Genomic DNA, 18,865 nt, shown 5'->3' with positions numbered 1-18,865 from the left:
GTTACTGAAGAATTGCTGTTAATTATTTAAATATTTTATAGAATTTATCAGTGAAGGCATTTGACTCTGGGCTTTTCTTTTGGGGAAGTTTTTTGTATTATTAATTCTATCTATTATAGGTCTATTCAGATTTTCTATTTCCTTTTTAAAATTTTATTTTATTTTTGATGCTCTACACCTTCAGAGAATCTTCTCTAATAACAAACTACAGAAATGATCCCTGAAAGTAGAGTCTTAAGTCTCTTTTATTGCAGTCATCTTCGTGGGCGTGAAGTTGTGTCTTATTGTCTTATTGTGGTTTTGATGTGCATTTCCCTAATGCTAATGAAATCAAATATCTTTTCATGTGCTTTATTGAATATTGTTTATGTTTTTTGGAGAAATGTCTATTCAAATCCTTTGTCCATTTTAAATTGGGTTATTGTGTTTTTATTGGTGAGTTTCATTTTTATTTTTATTTTGTTTAATTTAATAGAGACAGGGTCTCACCATGTTGCCTAGGCTGGTATCCAACTCCTGCGCTCAGGTGATCCTCCTGCCTCAGCCTCCCAAAGTGCTGGGATTACAGGCATGAGCCACCACGCCTGGCCAGATTTTCTATTTCTTCTTGAGTCAGCTTCAATAGTTTGTATCTTTCTAGGAGTTTGTCCATTTCATCTAGGCTGCCCAATTTATTGGCATACTTTTGTCAATGATATTCCCTTAAAATCCTTTTTATTTCTATTAAGTCATTAGTGATATCCTCTCTTTCATTTCTCATTTCAGTAATGAGTCTTCTCTCCTTTTCTTTGTCAGTCTTGCTAAAGGTTTGCCAATTTTGTTGATCTTTTCAAAAACCATCTTTTGCTTTTATAGACTTTATTGTTCTTCTGTTATTTATTTCATTTTTTTCTACTTTCATATATTTTTCTTCTATTCTCATCTTTTTTTCTTCCTTCACTCTGCTTGCTCTGTGTTTGGTTTCCATTTTCTGGTTTCTGAGGTGAAAGGTTAGGCTACTGATTACAAATCTTTCTCCTTTTTTACTATAGGCCTTTACAGTAGTAAATTTGCTTCTAAACATGGCTGTTGCTGTATCTCATAAGTTTTTGTGGATTGTGTTTTTGTTTACATTCTTCTCAAAGTTAAAATTTCCCTTCTGATTTCTTATTTGACCTATTGGTTATTTTGGTGTGTGTTGTTTAGTTTCCACATATTTGTGAATTTCCCTAATTTATTTCTGTCATTGATTTCCAATTATGATTGGAGAGCACACTTTCTTTGCTTTTAATTCTTTTAAATCTATTAAGGCTTGTTTTGTGGCATATCAGAAGGTCTATCCAGGAGAATGTTCCCAGTGCCTTTGAGCGGAATGCAAATTCTGCTGTTGTTGGGTGGAATGTTCTCTATATGTCACTTCGATTTCGATAGTTATTGTATTGGTCAGTTGTACATCTTTGGTGAATTTTTTGTCCACTAATCCAATTAATGATGGCAATAGGGTATGGAATTTCCCCAACGATAATTATGGATTTGTTTCTCCCTTTAGCTCTATCAACTTTTGTTTCATATATTTTGAGTCTCTGTTTTTTGATACATCCAAATTTAGGATCATTATGTCTTCCTAGTGGATTGATTCTTTTATCATTGTGTTGTGTTACTTTTTGTCTAAAATATTTTCCTAGCTATGACATCTCATTTATCTGATATTAATATAACCACTCCCACTTTCTCTTGTTTTTATTAATGTTCAAATGCACATTTAGACATCAAAATTGGCAAGTTATTGTTTAAGGTTAAGTAACATCAGTGACCTTTCCCCATTCATTACTATTGAACCCCATTGGACTATTTTATCTTATGAATGGATCTTTTGTCCATTCACCATTTTGTAACATCCTGTACAGGTTGTTTGGAAAATACTGATGCCCTGAGTGAGTTGTGTTGTTTCTGAATGATGACACTTTTCCTTATCCAATACTCAAAACTCATGTTTGCTAATATCACCACCAGTCTCATGGTTGAGCTCTAATAAAATTATTTTTCTGCTTTTTGATATTTATTTTGTATTGCTTTATAACATGTTACCATAAAATTAGCAAGTTAAAGTAGTATTCATTCACTCTTATAATTTCCCTGGGTCAGGAGTATGGGTCCTACGTAGCTGGGTCCTCTGCTCAGTGTCTTATACAAGGTTGCAATTCAGATGTCATCTGGGGCTAGGGGTCTTGTCTGAAGTTTGATATTATATTACTTCATATTGCTTTTGTAATGAGTTACCATGAACTTGATTGCTTAAACAACATAAACTTGTTATTTTATAATCATTGAGGTCAGAAATCCAAAATTGGGTCTTCCTGGGCTAAAATCAAGGTGCTAGCCAGGCTCCATTCCTTTTGGAGACTCTAGGGGAGAATTTATTTCCTTGCCTTTTCCTGCTTATAGAGGCCACCTGCATTTCTTGGCTTGTGGTTACTTCCTTCATCTTCAAAGTCAGCAGTGTGGCATCTTCAGATCTCTCTCTGACTCTTACCTTTGCTTCAAATCTCTCTCTGACTCTTACCTTTGCTTCCATCATCATATCTCCTTCTCTGACTCTCCTGCTCTTCCTTTCCCTTATAAGGACTCTTATGATTTTGCTGGCCCCACCCAGATAATTCAGGATAATCACGGAACTCGCGGCTGCTTCCTTCTTTACTATTGGCAAGTGTACAAAAATTTCTGCTGCCTGTAGTGTCTTCTCAGGGAAGGCGTAAAACCCCTCTTTTCAAGGCTGTACCTGGTTATGTTAGAATCACCCAGAATAATCTCCCTTTTGAGTAATTCAGAGTCCCGTCAAAGACATCTTAAGTGCATCTGCAAAATCCATTTACCTCTGCTATGTCATAATCTGATCACAGCAGTTATATCCAGCCTATTCATGGGTCCCTCCCATGCTCATGAGTGAGGATTATGCAGGGTGTATACCTTGGGGGTGGGAATTTTGCCAGCCATCTTAGAATTCTGTCTACCATGTTTATCTAGGACATGCTTAAGTAAGACTGGCATTCTCTTTCAACTGCCATTGTATAGTGGTGAAGAATCTGATGACTCCTAGTACCATTTGGTGCCACTGCCTCGGTTCATGCTAAGGGCCAGCAGGTTTACTCATTGTTGGTTTTGCACCACAGTGCAAGTGCCAACCCCATAAAAGCATGATTATGAAAATAGTTTTTCATAATCTATGGAGCCCAGGGGTCCTTGAAACACTCTTTGAGAACAACCATTTGTGGAGATGACCTTACACAGCCATGTGGCATCAGTATGTTTTCATTCAGGTCAGTGATGTTTTCGATATCAGTGTACAGCAATCATGTATTGTGGTGCTACAGCAGGCAGGAAGGTTGCTTTAGATGTCTTTTGTTGTATGAAGCTACACCTTTTCAGTTTTACTTCTGTAGAAAGTAATATAAATTAATGCAGCCTTTTGAGAGGGCAGTTTAGTAAAATATTTGAATGAGCAGTTCTACTTCAAAGCATTTTCCCTGTAGGTATACGTATGCATGTGTGCAGTGGTACATTTTAAATGATGTTTGTGATTTCTTGTGTTTTGTACCAGCCAAAAATTAAACACCCTTAAATCCCACTAGTGAAATATACAGATTCTAAACCATTCATACTCTGAAGCCATTGCAAAAAATAAGGTAGAGCTCTGGAACTGACATGAAAAAGGCAAGTCACAGAACAGGATGTATGTAGTATGAATCAATTTCTATCAAATATAAGTGGATGTGAGCACACACACACAGGCCTGCAGGCAGATCTGAAAAGGTACAGAGCAGCCCCCTCTTGGGATAGATTTGAGGCTGCCTTTTTTTCTTATAATCTACACCACTGGGTATTTTTTATATTGAGCAAGTATTACCTTTATAATAAACCTTAAAAATTAAAGTGATCTTTACTAATGAGGAAGAACTCTAGATTAGAACTGGAGAACTAGAGAGGCCTTTCCCCTCATTGTTTGGATGAGAGGGACTTGTCCAAGGTCGCGCTGCAAGCCAGCAGCACAACTGGCCTGAAGTGCAGGGATCCTGGCTTTACCTTGGGGGCCTTTTCTTCTACAACATGTTGCCATGAGAAGTGTCTGCATAGAGAAGGTACTGATGACCCAAAAGACGAGTTTAGGGTCAATTGGTGTGCTTTGGCCAAAGAAACCCTGGAAAATCCTCTATTCATGAACAGGTCAACCTGCCCCAAAGAGTTGTTGGAATACCTCAAAATCAAAAGTACAAGCTTTGATATATAGTGCCTGCTGGTCTGCTTGGCAGCTCTCCTACTGAATGGAAGATTAGATTAAAAAATCTAGAAAGCTGAAAAAGGGACTTCTCTTTAAGAGGTAAGCACAGTGCAATAACAGAAAAGTTGTAACTTCAGGGCCCCAAGAAAGGTGGTATTCTGTATACTCATGTCAAAGTGACAGAACTGTATTATTTGCTCTGTAAAGATTTACTATTGCTCTGTAAAGATTTGCTATCTGGAAGGTTATCAGTGTTACACAAACCATTGGCCATAGGAAGGAACAAGCTTTAGTTCTCTGGAAAGTTGCCTGTGTATACCATCTCATTCCTAGATGTTCTTATCCGGTGTCATTTTTTTTTTTGAGGTGCAGTTTTGCTCTTGTTGCCCAGGCTGGAGTGCAATGGCATGGTCTCAGCTCATAGCAACCTCTGCCTCCAGGGTTCAAGCGATTCTCCTGCCTCAGCCTCCCAAGTAGCTGGGATTACAGGCTCCCACCACCACGCCCGGCTAATTTTTGTGTTTTTAGTAGAGACGGGTTTTCACCATGTTGGCCAGGCTGGTCTTGAACTCCTGACATCAGGTGATCTGCCCACCTCGGCCTCCCAAAGTGCTGGGATTACAGGCTTGAGCCTTCACGCCCGGCCTTCTACTGCCATTTTTCCGAAGTCAGGTCTACATGATTTGTTGTTTTATTTTTAGTGTCAATTAATAGATATTCCTGAGTCTCTGCAGACCAGCCATTTGCATGTCAGACCTTTTTTTGCATCAGAAATTACCTTGATAAGCCTGGACAACTTAGCAAGACCCCGTCTCTACAGAAGATGAAAAAATTAGCTGGGCGTAGTGGTGCATGCCTGTAGTCCCAGCTGCTCAGCAGGCTGAGGTGGGAGAATCACTTGAGCCTGGGAGTTCTACACTGTGGTGAGCTATGATCGTGCCACTGCACTGCAGCCTGGGTGACAGAGTGAAACCCAGTCTCAAAAAACACGAAATTACCTTGATGCTCAAATCGTGGTAATTTGACTTTTAATTTTGAGGTAATTGTAAATTCACATGAAGTTGTAAGAAATAATACAGAGAGATCCTATGCACCCCATACCCAGTTTCCCCCAGTGGTAACATCCTGCAAAACTATAGTATAAGATCACAACCAAGATATTGACATTGATATAGTCTGGTGATCTTATTCAGATTTCCTCAGTTTTACTTCTACTGAGTGTGTGTGTGTGTTTACTTCTATGCAGTTTTATCACTTGTGTGGGTATGTGTATCTACCATGACAGTCTAGACAGAACTATTTCATCACCACAAAGATCCCTCTTGTTGCCCTTTTATAAACACAGACACTCCCTCTTGCCACCCACTCCTTGCCTGTCTCTAACCCCTGACAACCATTAATTTGTTCTCCATCTGTAGCATTTGGCAATTTCAAAAATGGAATCACAGAGTATATACTGTTTTGGGACTGGCTTTTCTCACTCAACATAATTCCCTTGAGATCCTTCCGAGTCACCGTATATATCAATAATTTGTTGCTTTTCCTCACTGAACAGTATTTCATGGTGTGGACGTACCATAGTTTGTTTAACCATTCGCTTTTTGGAGGTCATCTGGGTTGCTCCCAGTTTTTGACTATTATAAGCACTTACATACACGTTCTTATGTGAATATGACTCTTCATTTCTGTGGGATAAATGCTAAGTTGTGTGAGTGCTGGGTTGTGTGGTTGTTATAGGTTTAGTTTGTTAAGACATTACCAACATATTTTTGTGGTGAGAACATTCAAGATCTACTCTCTTGGCAATTTTTGAGTATATAATATATTATTATTAACTATAGTCACCCTGCTCTATAATAAATCTCCAGAACTTATTCCTCCTGTCTAACTGAAACTTTGCACCCTTTGACTAGCATCTCCCTACTCCCCACCCCAGCCCCTGGCCACCAGTATTCTGCTCTATGCTTCTATGAGTTCAGTTTTGGTTTTTTTTCTAATTTTCTTTGAGTTGTAAAGCTGGGTTGTTTATTTGAGATCTTTGTGTTTGTTTGTTTGTTTGTTTGTTTTGAGTCGGAGTCTCGCTCTGTTGCCCAGGCTGGAGTGCAATGGCGCCATCTCAGGTCACTGCAACCTCCGCCTCCTGGGATTACAGGCATCTGCCACCACACTTGGCTAATTTTTGTATTTTTAGTAGAGTTTTAGTTTTATTTTTATTTTGTTTTATTTAATTTAATAGAGACAGGGTCTCACCATGTTGCCTAGGCTGGTATCGAACTCATGTGCTCAGGTGATCCTCCTGCCTCGGCCTCCCAAAGTGCTGGGATTACAGGCATGAGCCACCACGCCTGGCCAGATTTTCTATTTCTTCTTGGGTCAGCTTCAGTAGTTTATATCTTTCCAGGAGTTTGTCCATTTCATCTAGGCTGCCCAATTTATTGGCATACTTTTGTCAATGATATTCCCTTAAAATCCTTTTTTATTTCTATTAAGTCATTAGTGATATCCTCTCTTTCATTTCTCATTTCAGTAATGAGTCCTCTCTCTTTTTCTTTGTCAATCTTGCTAAAGGTTTGTCAATTTTGTTGATCTTTTCAAAAACCATCTTTTGTTTTTATAGACTTTATTGTTCTTCTGTTACTTATTTCATCTGTTTCTACTAGAGATGGGGTTTCACCATGTTGGCCAGGCTGGTCTCTTGGCCAGGCTGTTCTCGAACTCCTGACCTCGTGATCTGCCCACCATGGTCTCCCAAAGTGCTGGGATTATAGGCATGAGCCACCGTGCCTGGAGAGATCTTTGTTTTTTGTTTAGGTTGGCATTTATTGCTATAAAGTTCTCTCTCAGGACTGCTTTTGCTGCATCTCATAAGTTTTGGTATGTTGTGTTTCTATTTTTATTTGTCTCAAAAATTTTTTTGATTTCCCTTTTGATTTCTTCTTTGACCCGTTGGTTGTTCAGGAGAATGTTGTTCAATTTCCACACATTTGTGAATTTTCCAATTCTCTGTTCAAACTTCTAGTTTTGTACCATTGTGGGTGGAAAAGACACTTGATATGATTTCAATCTTGTTAAATTTATTAAGACCTTTTCTGTGACCTAACATGTGACCTATCCTGGAGAATGTTCCATGTGTGCTTGAAAAGAATGTGAATTCTGCTGCTGTTGGATAGAATGTTTTGTGTATGTCTGTTAGGTCCATTTGGTCTAGAGTGTTGTCCTGGCCCGCTGTTTCCTTATTGATTTTTCTGTCTGGATGACTTGTCCATTGTTGAAAATGGAATATTTTCATCTTCTTAAACAGGTCTTTTACAGAGGAAATGTTTTAATTTTCACAAGGTGGATGTATCAATTTTTCTTTTTATGAAACGTGGCTTTGTTGTCAATTGTGTGAACTCTTTACCAAGCTCTCAGTCCCAAAGATTTTTTTTATGTTTTCTTTTGAAGTTTCATAACTTTATATTTAAGTAAAGATGATCATCCATTTTGAGCTCATTTTTAATAAGGTGTGAGGATTAGGTTGAGATTCATTGTTTTTACCTATTGATGCCCAATTACTCCAGCACCGTTTGTTCAAAAGACTATGCTTTATCAAATTGCTTTTGTACCTTTATCAAGAATCACTTGAGTGTATTTGGGGTCTTTTTGGGCTCTTCATTCTGTTTGATTGATCTGTCTGTCTGTCCCTCTGCCACAGTCCTGATTACTATAACTATAAATTCAGCTTTAATATTGGTTAGAGTGATTTGTTCCACTTTATTCTGCTTTGTCAAGTTCTTTTAAGGTTCTTCTAGGGCCTGTGCCTTTTCATATAATTTTAGATTAAGTTTGTCTTTGCCTAGTCTAGAAAAAAACTTACTGGGATTATGATAGGATGTGTATTAAACATAGATCCATTTTGGGACAGTTGACATTTTTACTTTGTGGAGTCTTCTAATCCATGAATACGGTATGTCTCTCAATTGATTTATGTCTTCTTTGATGTCTTTTCTTGAGAACACTGTAAATTTTGGTATAGAGGATCCGGTACATGTTTAAATGTATGTTTAAATATTTTCTTTTCTAGCCGGGCATGGTGGCTCACGCCCGTAATCCCAGCACTTTGGGAGGCCGAGGCGGGCAGATCACGAGGTCAGGAGTTCGAGACCAGCCTGACCAACATGGTGAAACTCTGTCTTTAATAAAAATACAAAAATTAGCGGGGTGTAGTGGCACGCATCTGTAATCCCAGTTACTCAGGAGGCTGAGGCAGGAGAATTGCTTGAACCCGGGAGGTGGAGTTTGCAGTGAGCTGAGATCTCGCTATTGCACTCCAGCCTGGGCGACAAAGTGAGACTCTGTCTCAGAAAAAAAAAAAAAAAAAAAAAAAAAAAAAAAGGCTGGGCACGGTGGCTCCCGCCTGTAATCCCAGCACTTTGGGAGGCCAAGGCGGGCAGATCACGAGGTCAGGAGATCGACACCATCCTGGCTAACACGGTGAAACCCCGTCTCTACTAAAAATACAAAAAATTAGCTGGGCGTGGTGGCAGGTGCCTGTAGTCCCAGCGACTCAGGAGGCTGAGGCAGGAGAATGGCGTGAACCTGGGAGGCAGAGCTTGCAGTGAGCCAAGATCACGCCACTGCACTCCAGCCTGGGCGACAGAGCGAGACTCTGTCTCAAAAAAAAAAAAAAAATTGTCTTTTCTTTTTTTTGAGCCTGAGTCTCGCTCTGCTGCCCAGACTGGAGTGCAGTGGTGTGATCTTGGCTCACTGCAGCCTCCACCTCCCTGACTCAAGCAAGATTCTCCCACCTCAGCCTCCCAAGTAGCTGGGACTACAGGCACATACCACCATACCTGGCTAACTTTTGTATTTTTAGTAAAGATGGGATTTCACCATGTTGCCCAGGCTGGTCTCAAACTCCTGAGCTCAGGTGATCTGCCCACTTTGGCCTCTCAAAGTGCTGGCATTATAGGCGTGAGCCACCGTCCCATCCTAAATATTTTCTTTGGAGCAATTGTGAATGGCTAATTTTGGGTTTGATATGTTCACTGCTATGATATGTGATCAATATTGTTGAACTTGTATCCTGAGACCTTGCTGAACTCACTTATTCTAGAAATTTTTTGTAGATTTCTTGGAATTTTCTATGTACATGATCATGTCATCTGCAAATAGAAACATATATAGTTCTTCCTTTCCAATCTGTATATATTTTTTCATATTGCAATGCTAGACATTTCAGTACCATATTAAATAAGAGTGGTAAGAGTGATGTCCTTGGTGTTTCAGACCTTAAAGAAAGAGCATTCAGTCTTTCACCATTAAGTCTGACGATAGCTATAGGTGTTTTCTAGATGTTCTTTATGAAGTTGAGATAGTTCCCCTTTATTTCTAATTTGCTGAAAGTATTTTTTTTCCATAAATGAGTGTTAGATTTTTTCATGTCCATTGATATGTGATTTGTCTTCTTTGGCCTGTTGACAGGGTAGATTACGTTGATTTTCAAGTATTGATCCAACTTGCCTGACTGGAATAAATTCCATTTTTCATGCTGTTTAATTCTCTTTATACATTCTATTCTGTTTGCTAATATTTTGTTGAAGATTTGGCATGTAAATTGATGAGAGACATTAGTCTATATGTTTTTTTTTTCTTTAATAAGGTCTTGATCTGGTTTGGCTCTGTGTCCCCATCCAAATCTCATCTCGAATTGTAATCCCCAGGCATCTAGGGAGGGACCTGGTGGAAGGTGATTGGATCATAGGGATGGTTCCCCATGCTGTTCTCACGATAGTGAGTGAGTTCTCACAAGAGCTGATGATTTTTAAAGTGTTTGGCAGTTCCCGCTTTGCTCCTCTCTCTCTCCTGCCACCTTGTGAAGTGAAGAAGATGCCAATCTCCCTTTTGCCTTCCACTATGATCGTAAGTTTTTTGAGGCCTCCCCAGCCATGAGGAACTGTAAGTCAATTAAACCTCTTTTCTTTATAAATTACCCTGTCTCAGGCAGTATCTTTATATCAGTGTGAAAACGAACTAATACAGGTCTTTATCTGTGTTTGTTACCAGGGTAATACTGGCCTTACAAAATGAGTGGGGAAGTATTTCCTCTTGTCTCCTTTCTGGAAGAGATTGTATACAATTGGTGATAATTCCTTTTTAAATGTTTGGTAGAACTCTCCAGGTAAATCACCAAGTCCTGGAGGTTGAGGTTTTGTTTTTTTGGGGTTTTTTTGTTTTTTTTTTTGAGACGAAGTTTCACTTTTGTTGCCCAAGCTGGAGTGCAATGGCGTGGTCTCGGCTCACTGTAACCTCCGCCTCCCAGGTTCAAGCAAATCTCCTGTCTCAGCCTCCCGAGTAGCCGGGATTATAGGCATGCACCACCACACCCGGCTTATTTTATATTTTTAGTAGAGACAGGGTTTCTCCATGCTGGTCAGGCTGATCTCGAACTCCTGACTCAGGTGATCCACCCACCTCGGCCTCCCAAAGTGCTGGGATTACAGGTGTGGGCCACTGCACCCAGCTGAGTTTTTTATTATTGTGGTAAGTATACATATAAAATCTACTGTTTTAACCATTTTTAACTGTATTATTCAGTGGTACTTAGTAGACATTTGTCCCTCCTTTAGTATTTGCTGGGCATTGGTTCTGGGACCCCCTGCAAATACCAAAATCCTTTGATGTTCAATTCTCTGATATGAAATGGCATAGTATTTGCATGTAACCTACACATATCCTCCCATATAGCTTAAATCATTTCCAGATTACTTATAATACCTAATACAATATAATGCTATGTAAATAGTTATTATACTGTATTTTAAAAATTTATATTATTTTTATAGTTGTATTATTTTTTGTTTTTTGTTCTTTGAATATTTTGATCCATGGTTGGTCAAACACATGATTCTGGATGTGGAACCTATGGATATGGAGGATCATCGGTATTCACAATGTTATGCAGCTGTTACCATGATCATTTCCAACAGTTTTTCATCAGCCCAGCTAGAAACCCTATACCCCTACAACAGTAACTCCTCATTTCTCCTTACTCCTAGCCCCTGGTAACCTCTGCTATACTTTCTGTCTCTAAGAATTTGCCCATTCTAGGTACCTCTTATAAGCAGAATTGCACAATATTTGTTCTTTTGTGTCTGGTTTATTTCACTTAATGTAATGTTTTCCAGGTTTATCCATGTTGCAGCATGTACCAGAGTTTCTTTCTTTTAAGCCTGAATAATATTGCATTATATGTATATACCATATTTTGCTTATCCATTTATATGTTGATGGCCATTTGTGTTGTTTCCACCTTTTGGCTGTTGTGCATAATGCTGTTAGGAGCATTGGTGTACAGATTTCTGTTAGAGTCTCTGCTTTCAATTCATATGGGTATGGACCTAGAAGTGGAATTGCTGGATCATATGGTAACTCTGTTTCACATTTTGAGGAAGTACCAAACTGTTTTCCACAGCAGCTGCACCATTTTACATTCCCACCAGCAATATACCAGGGTTCCAATTTCTTCATGTCCTCACCAATACCTGTAATTTTTCATTTTTCTTTTAATAATAGCCATCCCAATGGGTGCAAACTGGTATCTCATTGCAGTTTTTATTTGCATATCCCTAATGACTAGTGACACTGAGCAGCTTTTCATGTGCTTATTGGTCATTTGTATATCTTCTTTGAAGATATGTCTATTCAAGTCCTTTGCCCATTTTAAAACCACTTTTTTGGTTTTTTTCCTTTTTTTTTTTTTGAGACAGGGTCTTGCTTTGTCACCCAGTCTGGAGTGCAGTGGTATGATCTCAGCTTACTGCAACCTCCATCTCCGGGCTCAAGCAGTCCTCCTACTTCAGCCTCCTGAGGAGGTGGGACTACAGGTGTGCCACCACACCTGTCTAATTTTTGTGTTTTGTTGTTGTTTTTTTTTTTTTGGTAGAGACAGGGTTTCACCATGTTGTCCAGGCTGGTCTTGAACTTCTGGACTCAAGTAATCCACCTGCCTCAGCCTCCCAAAGTTCTGGGATTACAAGCATGAGCCACTGTGCCTAGCCTTAAAATCAGGGTTTTTGTTGTTGTTGACTTGTATAAGTTCTTTATATAGTATGGATATTAATCCCTTATTGGATGTAAGATTTGTAAATATTTTCTCCCATTCTTGTGAGTTATCTTTTTACTCTCTTGATATTGTCCTTTGATGCACAAAAGTTTTTAATTTTAGGCTGAGCATGGTGCACATGCCTATAATCCCAGCACTTTGGGATGCCAAGGCAAGTGGATGGCTTAAGTCCAGGAGTTTGAGACCAGCTTTGCCAACATGGGGCAACCCTGTCTGTACAAAAAATGCAAAAATTAGCTGGGCATGGTGGTGCACGCCTGTAGTCCCAGCTACTCAGAAGGCTAAGATAAGAGGATCACTTGAGTCTGGAAGGCGGAGGTTGCACTGAGTGGCATGATTGTGCCACTGCACTCCAGCCAGCCTGGGTGACAGAGTGAGACCCTGTCTCAAAAAAAGTTTTAAATTTTGATGAAGATCAATTTATTTATTTTGTTTTTGTTGTTGATGTTGCCTGTGCTTTTGTATCATATCCAGGAAATCATCATCAAATCCAGTATCATGAAACTTTTTCATAATATTTTCTCCTGAGAGTTTTATAGTTTTAGCTTTTATATTTAGGTCTTTGAACTATTTCTTTTTTTCATGCCACCATGTCTAAGAATCTTCTATCTATTTTGAGTTAATTTTTGTATGTAGTATAGGTCAGGGTCCGAAGTCATTCCTTTGCATGTGGCTATCCAATTTTCCCAGCACCATTTGTTGAAAAGACTGTCCTTTCCCCGATCGAATGGTCTTGACATACTGTTGAGAATCTAGTGACCGTATATGCAAGGGTTTATATCTGGGCTTGCTTTCTTCCTTCCTTCCTCCTTTCCTTTCCCTTTTCCTTTCCTTTCTCCCCTTTCCCTTCCTTCCCTTCTTCCCTCCCTTTGTTCTCCCACCCTCCCTCCCTCCCTCCCTCCCTTCCTTCCTTCCTTCCTTCCTTCCTTCCTTCCTTCCTTTCCTCCCTCCCTCCCTCCCTCCCTCCCTTCCTTCCTTCCTTCCTTTCCTCCCTCCCTCCCTCCCTTCCTTCCTTCCTTTCCTCCCTCCCTCCCTCCCTTCCTGTGTTCTGTCCTCCTTCTCCTCCTTCTTCTCCTTCTCCTTCTTCTCCTTCTTCTTCTTCTTTTTTTTTGACGGGGTCTCATTCTGTCGCCTATGCTGGAGTACAGTGGTGTGGTCACGGCTCACTGCAGCCTCCACCTGGGCTCAAGCAATCTTTCTATCTCAGCCTCTCAAGTAGCTGGAACCACAGGTGCACGCCACCACACCTGGCTAATTTTTTGTATTTTTTGTAGAGATGGGATTTCACAATGTTGCCAGGCTGGCCTTGAACTCCTGGGCTCAAGCAGTCCACCTGCCTCAGCCTCCCAAAGTGTTGAGATAACAGGCGTGAGCCACTGCACCCGGCCTATTTCTGGGCTTCCTATTATATTTCATTGGTTTGTATGTCTGTTCTTGATGTCAGTACCACACGTGTTGTGATATTTGTAGTTTTGTAGTAAGTTTTAAAATCAGGAAGTGTGACTCTTCTATGTTCTTTTTCTAGATTGTTTTGGCTGTTTGAGATTCCTTGAAATTCCATGTGAATTTTAGGATGAATTTGTCTATTTCTGCAACAAATGTCATTGGGATTTTGGTAGGGATTCCATTGAATCTGTAGATTGCTTTAGATAGTATGCATTGCCATTTTAACAATTTAGTGTCTTCTAATCCATGAACACAGGATTAGGTTGTATTTTGATAGTTGGTGGTTTTTGAGAAATTGGTCCATTTCTTCCAAGTTGTCAAATATGTGAGCTAAAAAATGTTCATATTATTCCATTATTATTCTTTTAATGGTTACAAGATCTACAGTGTCCCATTTCAGTCCTTTTATTGGCATATCATCTTTTTTAACTTTTATGTTTGTTAGTAAGGCTAGCGGTTTATCCCTTTTTACTGTATAAATAAACTTTTGGTTTTATTGATTTTTTTTTAGTATTGCATTCTTATTTTCAGTTTCATGGATCTCTGCTCTTGTGTTTATTTTTTCCATCTGCTTGCTTTGGTTTTGTTTTTCTAGTATCTAGCTAGCTTCTTTTTCTAGCATCTTGAATTAGTAACTTAGATTATTGATTTGAGGCTCTTCTTCATGTCTAACTTATGCATTGAGTGCTATAAACTTCTCTCTGCACTGCTTTAGATCCCACATATTTTGCTATGTTGTGTTTTCATTTTCACACAGTTCTATGTATTTTTTAAAATTTCCTTTGAAACTTTTTCTTTGACCCTTGTTTTATTTAGAAATATGTTGTTTAATATCCAAATGTTTAGAGATTTTCTTGTTTTCTGTTGTTTCTTCTCTGTTTCTAATTTGAATTAAGTATAATCAATGATACCTCTCTGCATAATTTCAATACTTTTAAATTTGTTGAAGTTTATTTCCTGGTTCAGAATATGATCTCAGGTGAATATTCTGTGAGTGCTTAAACAATTGTTTACTCTGCTGTAATTGGCTGGTGTGTCCTGTTGTGCCAATTAAATCCCATTGGTTGATTATTGTTCACTCCTTCAATATCCTTGTAGATTTTCTGTCTAGTAGTTCTACCAATTGCTGAGAGTGGAGTGTTGAAGTCCCCAACTATAAATGTGCATTTGCTTATTTCTCCTTTTAGCTCTATCAGGTTTTACTTAATGTGTCTAGACACTCTATTGTTAGGTGCACACACATTCAGGATTGTTACGTCTTCCTGGTGGATTGATCCTTTTATCATTTTATAATATCCCTCTTCATTCCATCTGAGAACTGTTGGGTTATGACTTGACTTACTGTATTGTTTTTGTATTTTCTTTGCAGAAGATTCAGACCTACATTTCTTTGATCCACAGACAACACCAAAGGTCTATCGAAAAATGATAGGCAATACATTTTAAATGTCCCTAGGCAGTTTGGATATCACATTATTGCTCTGTAAAACTCATTTAGGTTTTTTCCCCAGATACATCGCTGTTTCTCTCCCAGGTGCTTGCTGTATACAGCACTGTCTCTGTCTTTTCCCTCTATTAACTTCAATAGTGGGAACAGTTACAGCACAGTCTTCTGAAGTTCAAGAGAAGAATCATTTGGAAAATTCATGAATGCCATCTGTGTAATTGGTGTGAAAGAAGTCCATATTTGAAAGGAATCTGGTTGAGCCCAGAGACCTGATGTTTATAATAGTAACCACAGTTATATAAAATTATATATGTGTGTGTTGTAAGCACTTTCCGTGTATAAGATACTACCACAGTCCACTGGGAATGCATCCTCAATCTGTCCATCCCTGGGCAGGATTAGCTATAGTTCAAGTGCCAGGTTGACAGTGGTGGAACCAAGGCTTGGAGCTCAAGCTCTAGAACTCCTCGGTCCATGTGGTCATCTCCCGCAGATCTGGGCTCAAGTCCCAGCTTTGCCACTTACCTGGCCACATGTGGGACTATGTCTGCCTCATAACCCCCATCCCCTGAAGAAAAGTGAACAGAACCCACCTCATTTAAGCCTTTTATATCTCTTTGTCATCCGTCTCAAAGTGATTCTGCAGAGGTCCTATAGGAGCCTCAAGGACCAAGACAAGAATATTCATGATGTGACTTCCCTGAGCCATGAATGGCTGCTGCATTTTGTTCCTAAATGTGCTCCCTTTGCTGTCCTCCCTTCCCCTTTTAGAGAGATGGAACCATGTAACCACCACGACCAAGAGGCCAGTAACCACCAGAGCTCCAGCAAATACTTTAGGTAAGGTGGCCGCTCTGAGGAGAGTAGTAAGGCAAGGATCCCATGGGGCTCCCTCTGAGACAGGATCCAAATGAGCTACCCATAGATGAACTAATTGAGTATTTCTTTTATTTTGGGACCCCATGAAGGAAATGATTTTGACTTGGCTGATGCCCTGGATGATCGAAATGATCGAGATGATGGCCGCAGGAAACCAATTGCTGGAGGAGGAGGTGAGTCCCACCTGGTCTGGTTCTGTCTCATTAATTACATCATCCCACAGAGCCAGAGCCAGCTTGGGCCTGGCAGAGCTGGAGGCACTTCAAGCCACTGGAGAACCCTATAATGGTGGTACTCAAACTTTTTTGGTCTGGGGACTCCTGAAATCATTGAGATCTCAAGAGAGATTTTGCTTATGTGGGTCACGTTTATCAATACTCATCATCTTAGAATTTAAAACTGAAAGACTTTATTAATCAATCTAAAATGAACAACATTAAACCCATACATTTAACATAAATAACATTTTTATGAGAAATAACTATGCTTGGCAAGACAAAAACTTGTATTGAGGAGAGCGGCACGCTGTTACATTTTTGCAGATTTCTCTCATGTCTGGCTGGATGGAAGCAGCTGGCTTCTCACAGGCACTTTATTCCATCGTGAGATGTTGTTTTGGTTGAAGTATATGAAGGAAATCTGGCCTCACACCCATAGGCAGTGGGGAAAGGGAGGAATATTTTCACAGACTTTTCAGATCCTTGTGGATAATCTTCTCGGATAGGACACCAAAACTTGGCCCCAACAAAAGCGGTTGTTTGTTACAGGTTAAGCGTAGTGTGGAGTGTGAAACTCTTATCAGTGAACTTTCCACACTTGGTTCCGTGGGACTATCTTGTCCTTTCAGTGGACCTTTTACCCGTTCATAAATTTTCTGCTTCCTTGTGTCAGTTTCCTTGCTGCATAACAAAAATCAGAAACTCTGAGTTAAGGCAACACCCATTTATTATCCCACTGTTTCCTTTGGTCCGGAGTTGAGGAACAGCTAAGCTGAGTTTTCTGCTCAGGAGCTCATATAGCTGCAGTCAAGGTGTTGGTGAGGGCTGGGGTCTCGTCTGAAGTTGGGTTCCCTTCCAAGCTCAATTGCTTGTTGACAGTACATTCCCTTGCAGCTATAGGAATAATGACTGCTTGCTGCTTCAAGACTAGCAGGAGAATGACCAACAGACGGGTTGGTAGGGGGAGAAAGGAGGAGAGACCGACCGACTCTGTTGCTTCTCATGTCTGAGCTCAGAGAAGGCCTGAACCTGCTTTTGAGGATGTCACCTGATTAAGTCATGCCCATCTAGGATAATCTCCTTTTTGATGAATGCAAAGTCAAATTGATTTGGTACCTTAATCACCTCTGCAAAATCCCTTCACCTTTGGCATGTAATCTAACCTAATCACGGGAGTGATATAGCCATCCTATCCATGGTTCCACTCACACTCAGAGTGGTGGGACATTATGCGGGACATGTACACCAGTGGGAGGGGGTCTGGGGGGACCTCTTAGAATTTCATGAAGGGCATTCTTAAGTGGAACTGGGAATCATTTTCTGAATTTTGGGCAACATTAGCACAAGTTTCTTGTTGCTGATTTTTTTTTCTTGTTGTTGAAATGTATGTTTTATTTTCTCCAGGTTTTTCAGACAAGGATCTTGAAGACATAGTAGGGGGTGGAGAATACAAACCTGACAAGGGTAAAGGTAGGAGCATTGATTTGTGCCAACACAACCCTTATTCTGGTGAAAAAGGTGATTATGCAGCAACCAGATTAATTGAGCCTCTGGGAAATGAGTGGTAGTTCCCAGACATCCCAGCCTGCCAGTTGGGGTTCATTTGGAATGATGTGAGCCATGCAGTTCAAGGGGGGGATTTATAAGCCATCTTGGAAAAGCCCCACATTTCCCCTGATGTTCCTTAAGCAGCAGTGCTGATAGGTTAACGTTTCATGCTGGCTGAAGCCTATTTGCCAAGGCAACACCACCAATGATAATAACTGGGGGCCAGTGGACTCTGAAAGCAGCCCTCTCAACCTCAAGAGACTCACTCACTCTTGGGATGGGAGGAGCAAAGTCATCATGACGAGCATTTTTTTTAAGAGACCCATAGCAAGTCAGATATCTTTTAAAATACCTTTTTATTTTGAAATGGTTCTCACAAGAAGTTGTAAAAATAGTTCAAGAGAGTTCATGTGTATACTTCACCTAGCTTCTCCTTATATAACCATAGTCATTGTCAAAACCAGGAAGTCAACATTAGTACAGTACTGTTAAGTCAGCTACAGACCTTGTTCAGATTTCATCAGATTTTGCATGCATTCAGATATGCGTGTGTGAGCGAGTATGGGTAGGTCTATAAAATGTTATGTGTGTAGATTTGAGTAACCATTACCATAATTAGCAGGCAGAACTGTTCCATCGCCACAAAGAAGTTCCCTCATGTTACCCCAGAATAGTCATGTCCTCCCCAAGGCCAGATAGTGTTAATTCCCCAAACTACCAAAGATTTCAACCTTTTATCATAGTATACATCAAGTCTGGAGGGAATATTAGCCAGATTTGTTGATGTGGCAAGGCAGGCTAGTGATTGTAACTTGTGGTTGTAACCTGTCGTGATTGTAACTTGTGATTATAATCTGTTGTGATAGCAACATGTTATGATGGTAAATTGTGGTAACCCTGGTTGTAACCTGTTGCAATGGCAAATTGCTGTTACACCCGGTTATAAGTGTGACAAGTTATGGGTGTAT

The 18,865-nt window shown here is 39.9% G+C and overlaps 1 protein-coding gene and 1 pseudogene across 8 annotated transcripts in view; one reads left to right on the top strand and one right to left on the bottom strand.

The window, feature by feature from the left end:
* Window positions 1-18,865, top strand: part of CD99L2 (CD99 molecule like 2) — a 132,333-nt gene that overhangs the window by 87,159 nt on the left and 26,309 nt on the right. For 6 of the 8 annotated variants that reach the window (NM_134446.4, NM_031462.4, NM_001242614.2 and 3 more), the window contains 3 exons: window positions 16,024-16,092; window positions 16,221-16,304; window positions 17,754-17,819. The exons of 1 other annotated variant lie outside the window; for it this stretch is intronic. In NM_134446.4, the coding sequence (NP_604395.1) occupies window positions 16,024-16,092; window positions 16,221-16,304; window positions 17,754-17,819 (219 nt within the window). The remainder of the gene's footprint in view (window positions 1-16,023; window positions 16,093-16,220; window positions 16,305-17,753; window positions 17,820-18,865) is intronic. One more of the 8 variants, NM_134445.4, reaches the window with a different exon arrangement.
* On the bottom strand, window positions 126-236 carry LOC124905294 (uncharacterized; annotated as a pseudogene).

Source organism: Homo sapiens, chromosome X (genome assembly GCF_000001405.40).
Source record: "Homo sapiens chromosome X, GRCh38.p14 Primary Assembly".
Taxonomy (NCBI): domain Eukaryota; kingdom Metazoa; phylum Chordata; class Mammalia; order Primates; family Hominidae; genus Homo; species Homo sapiens.
Note: the sequence above shows the minus strand (reverse complement) of the source record. Positions and strands in the feature narration are given on the sequence as shown.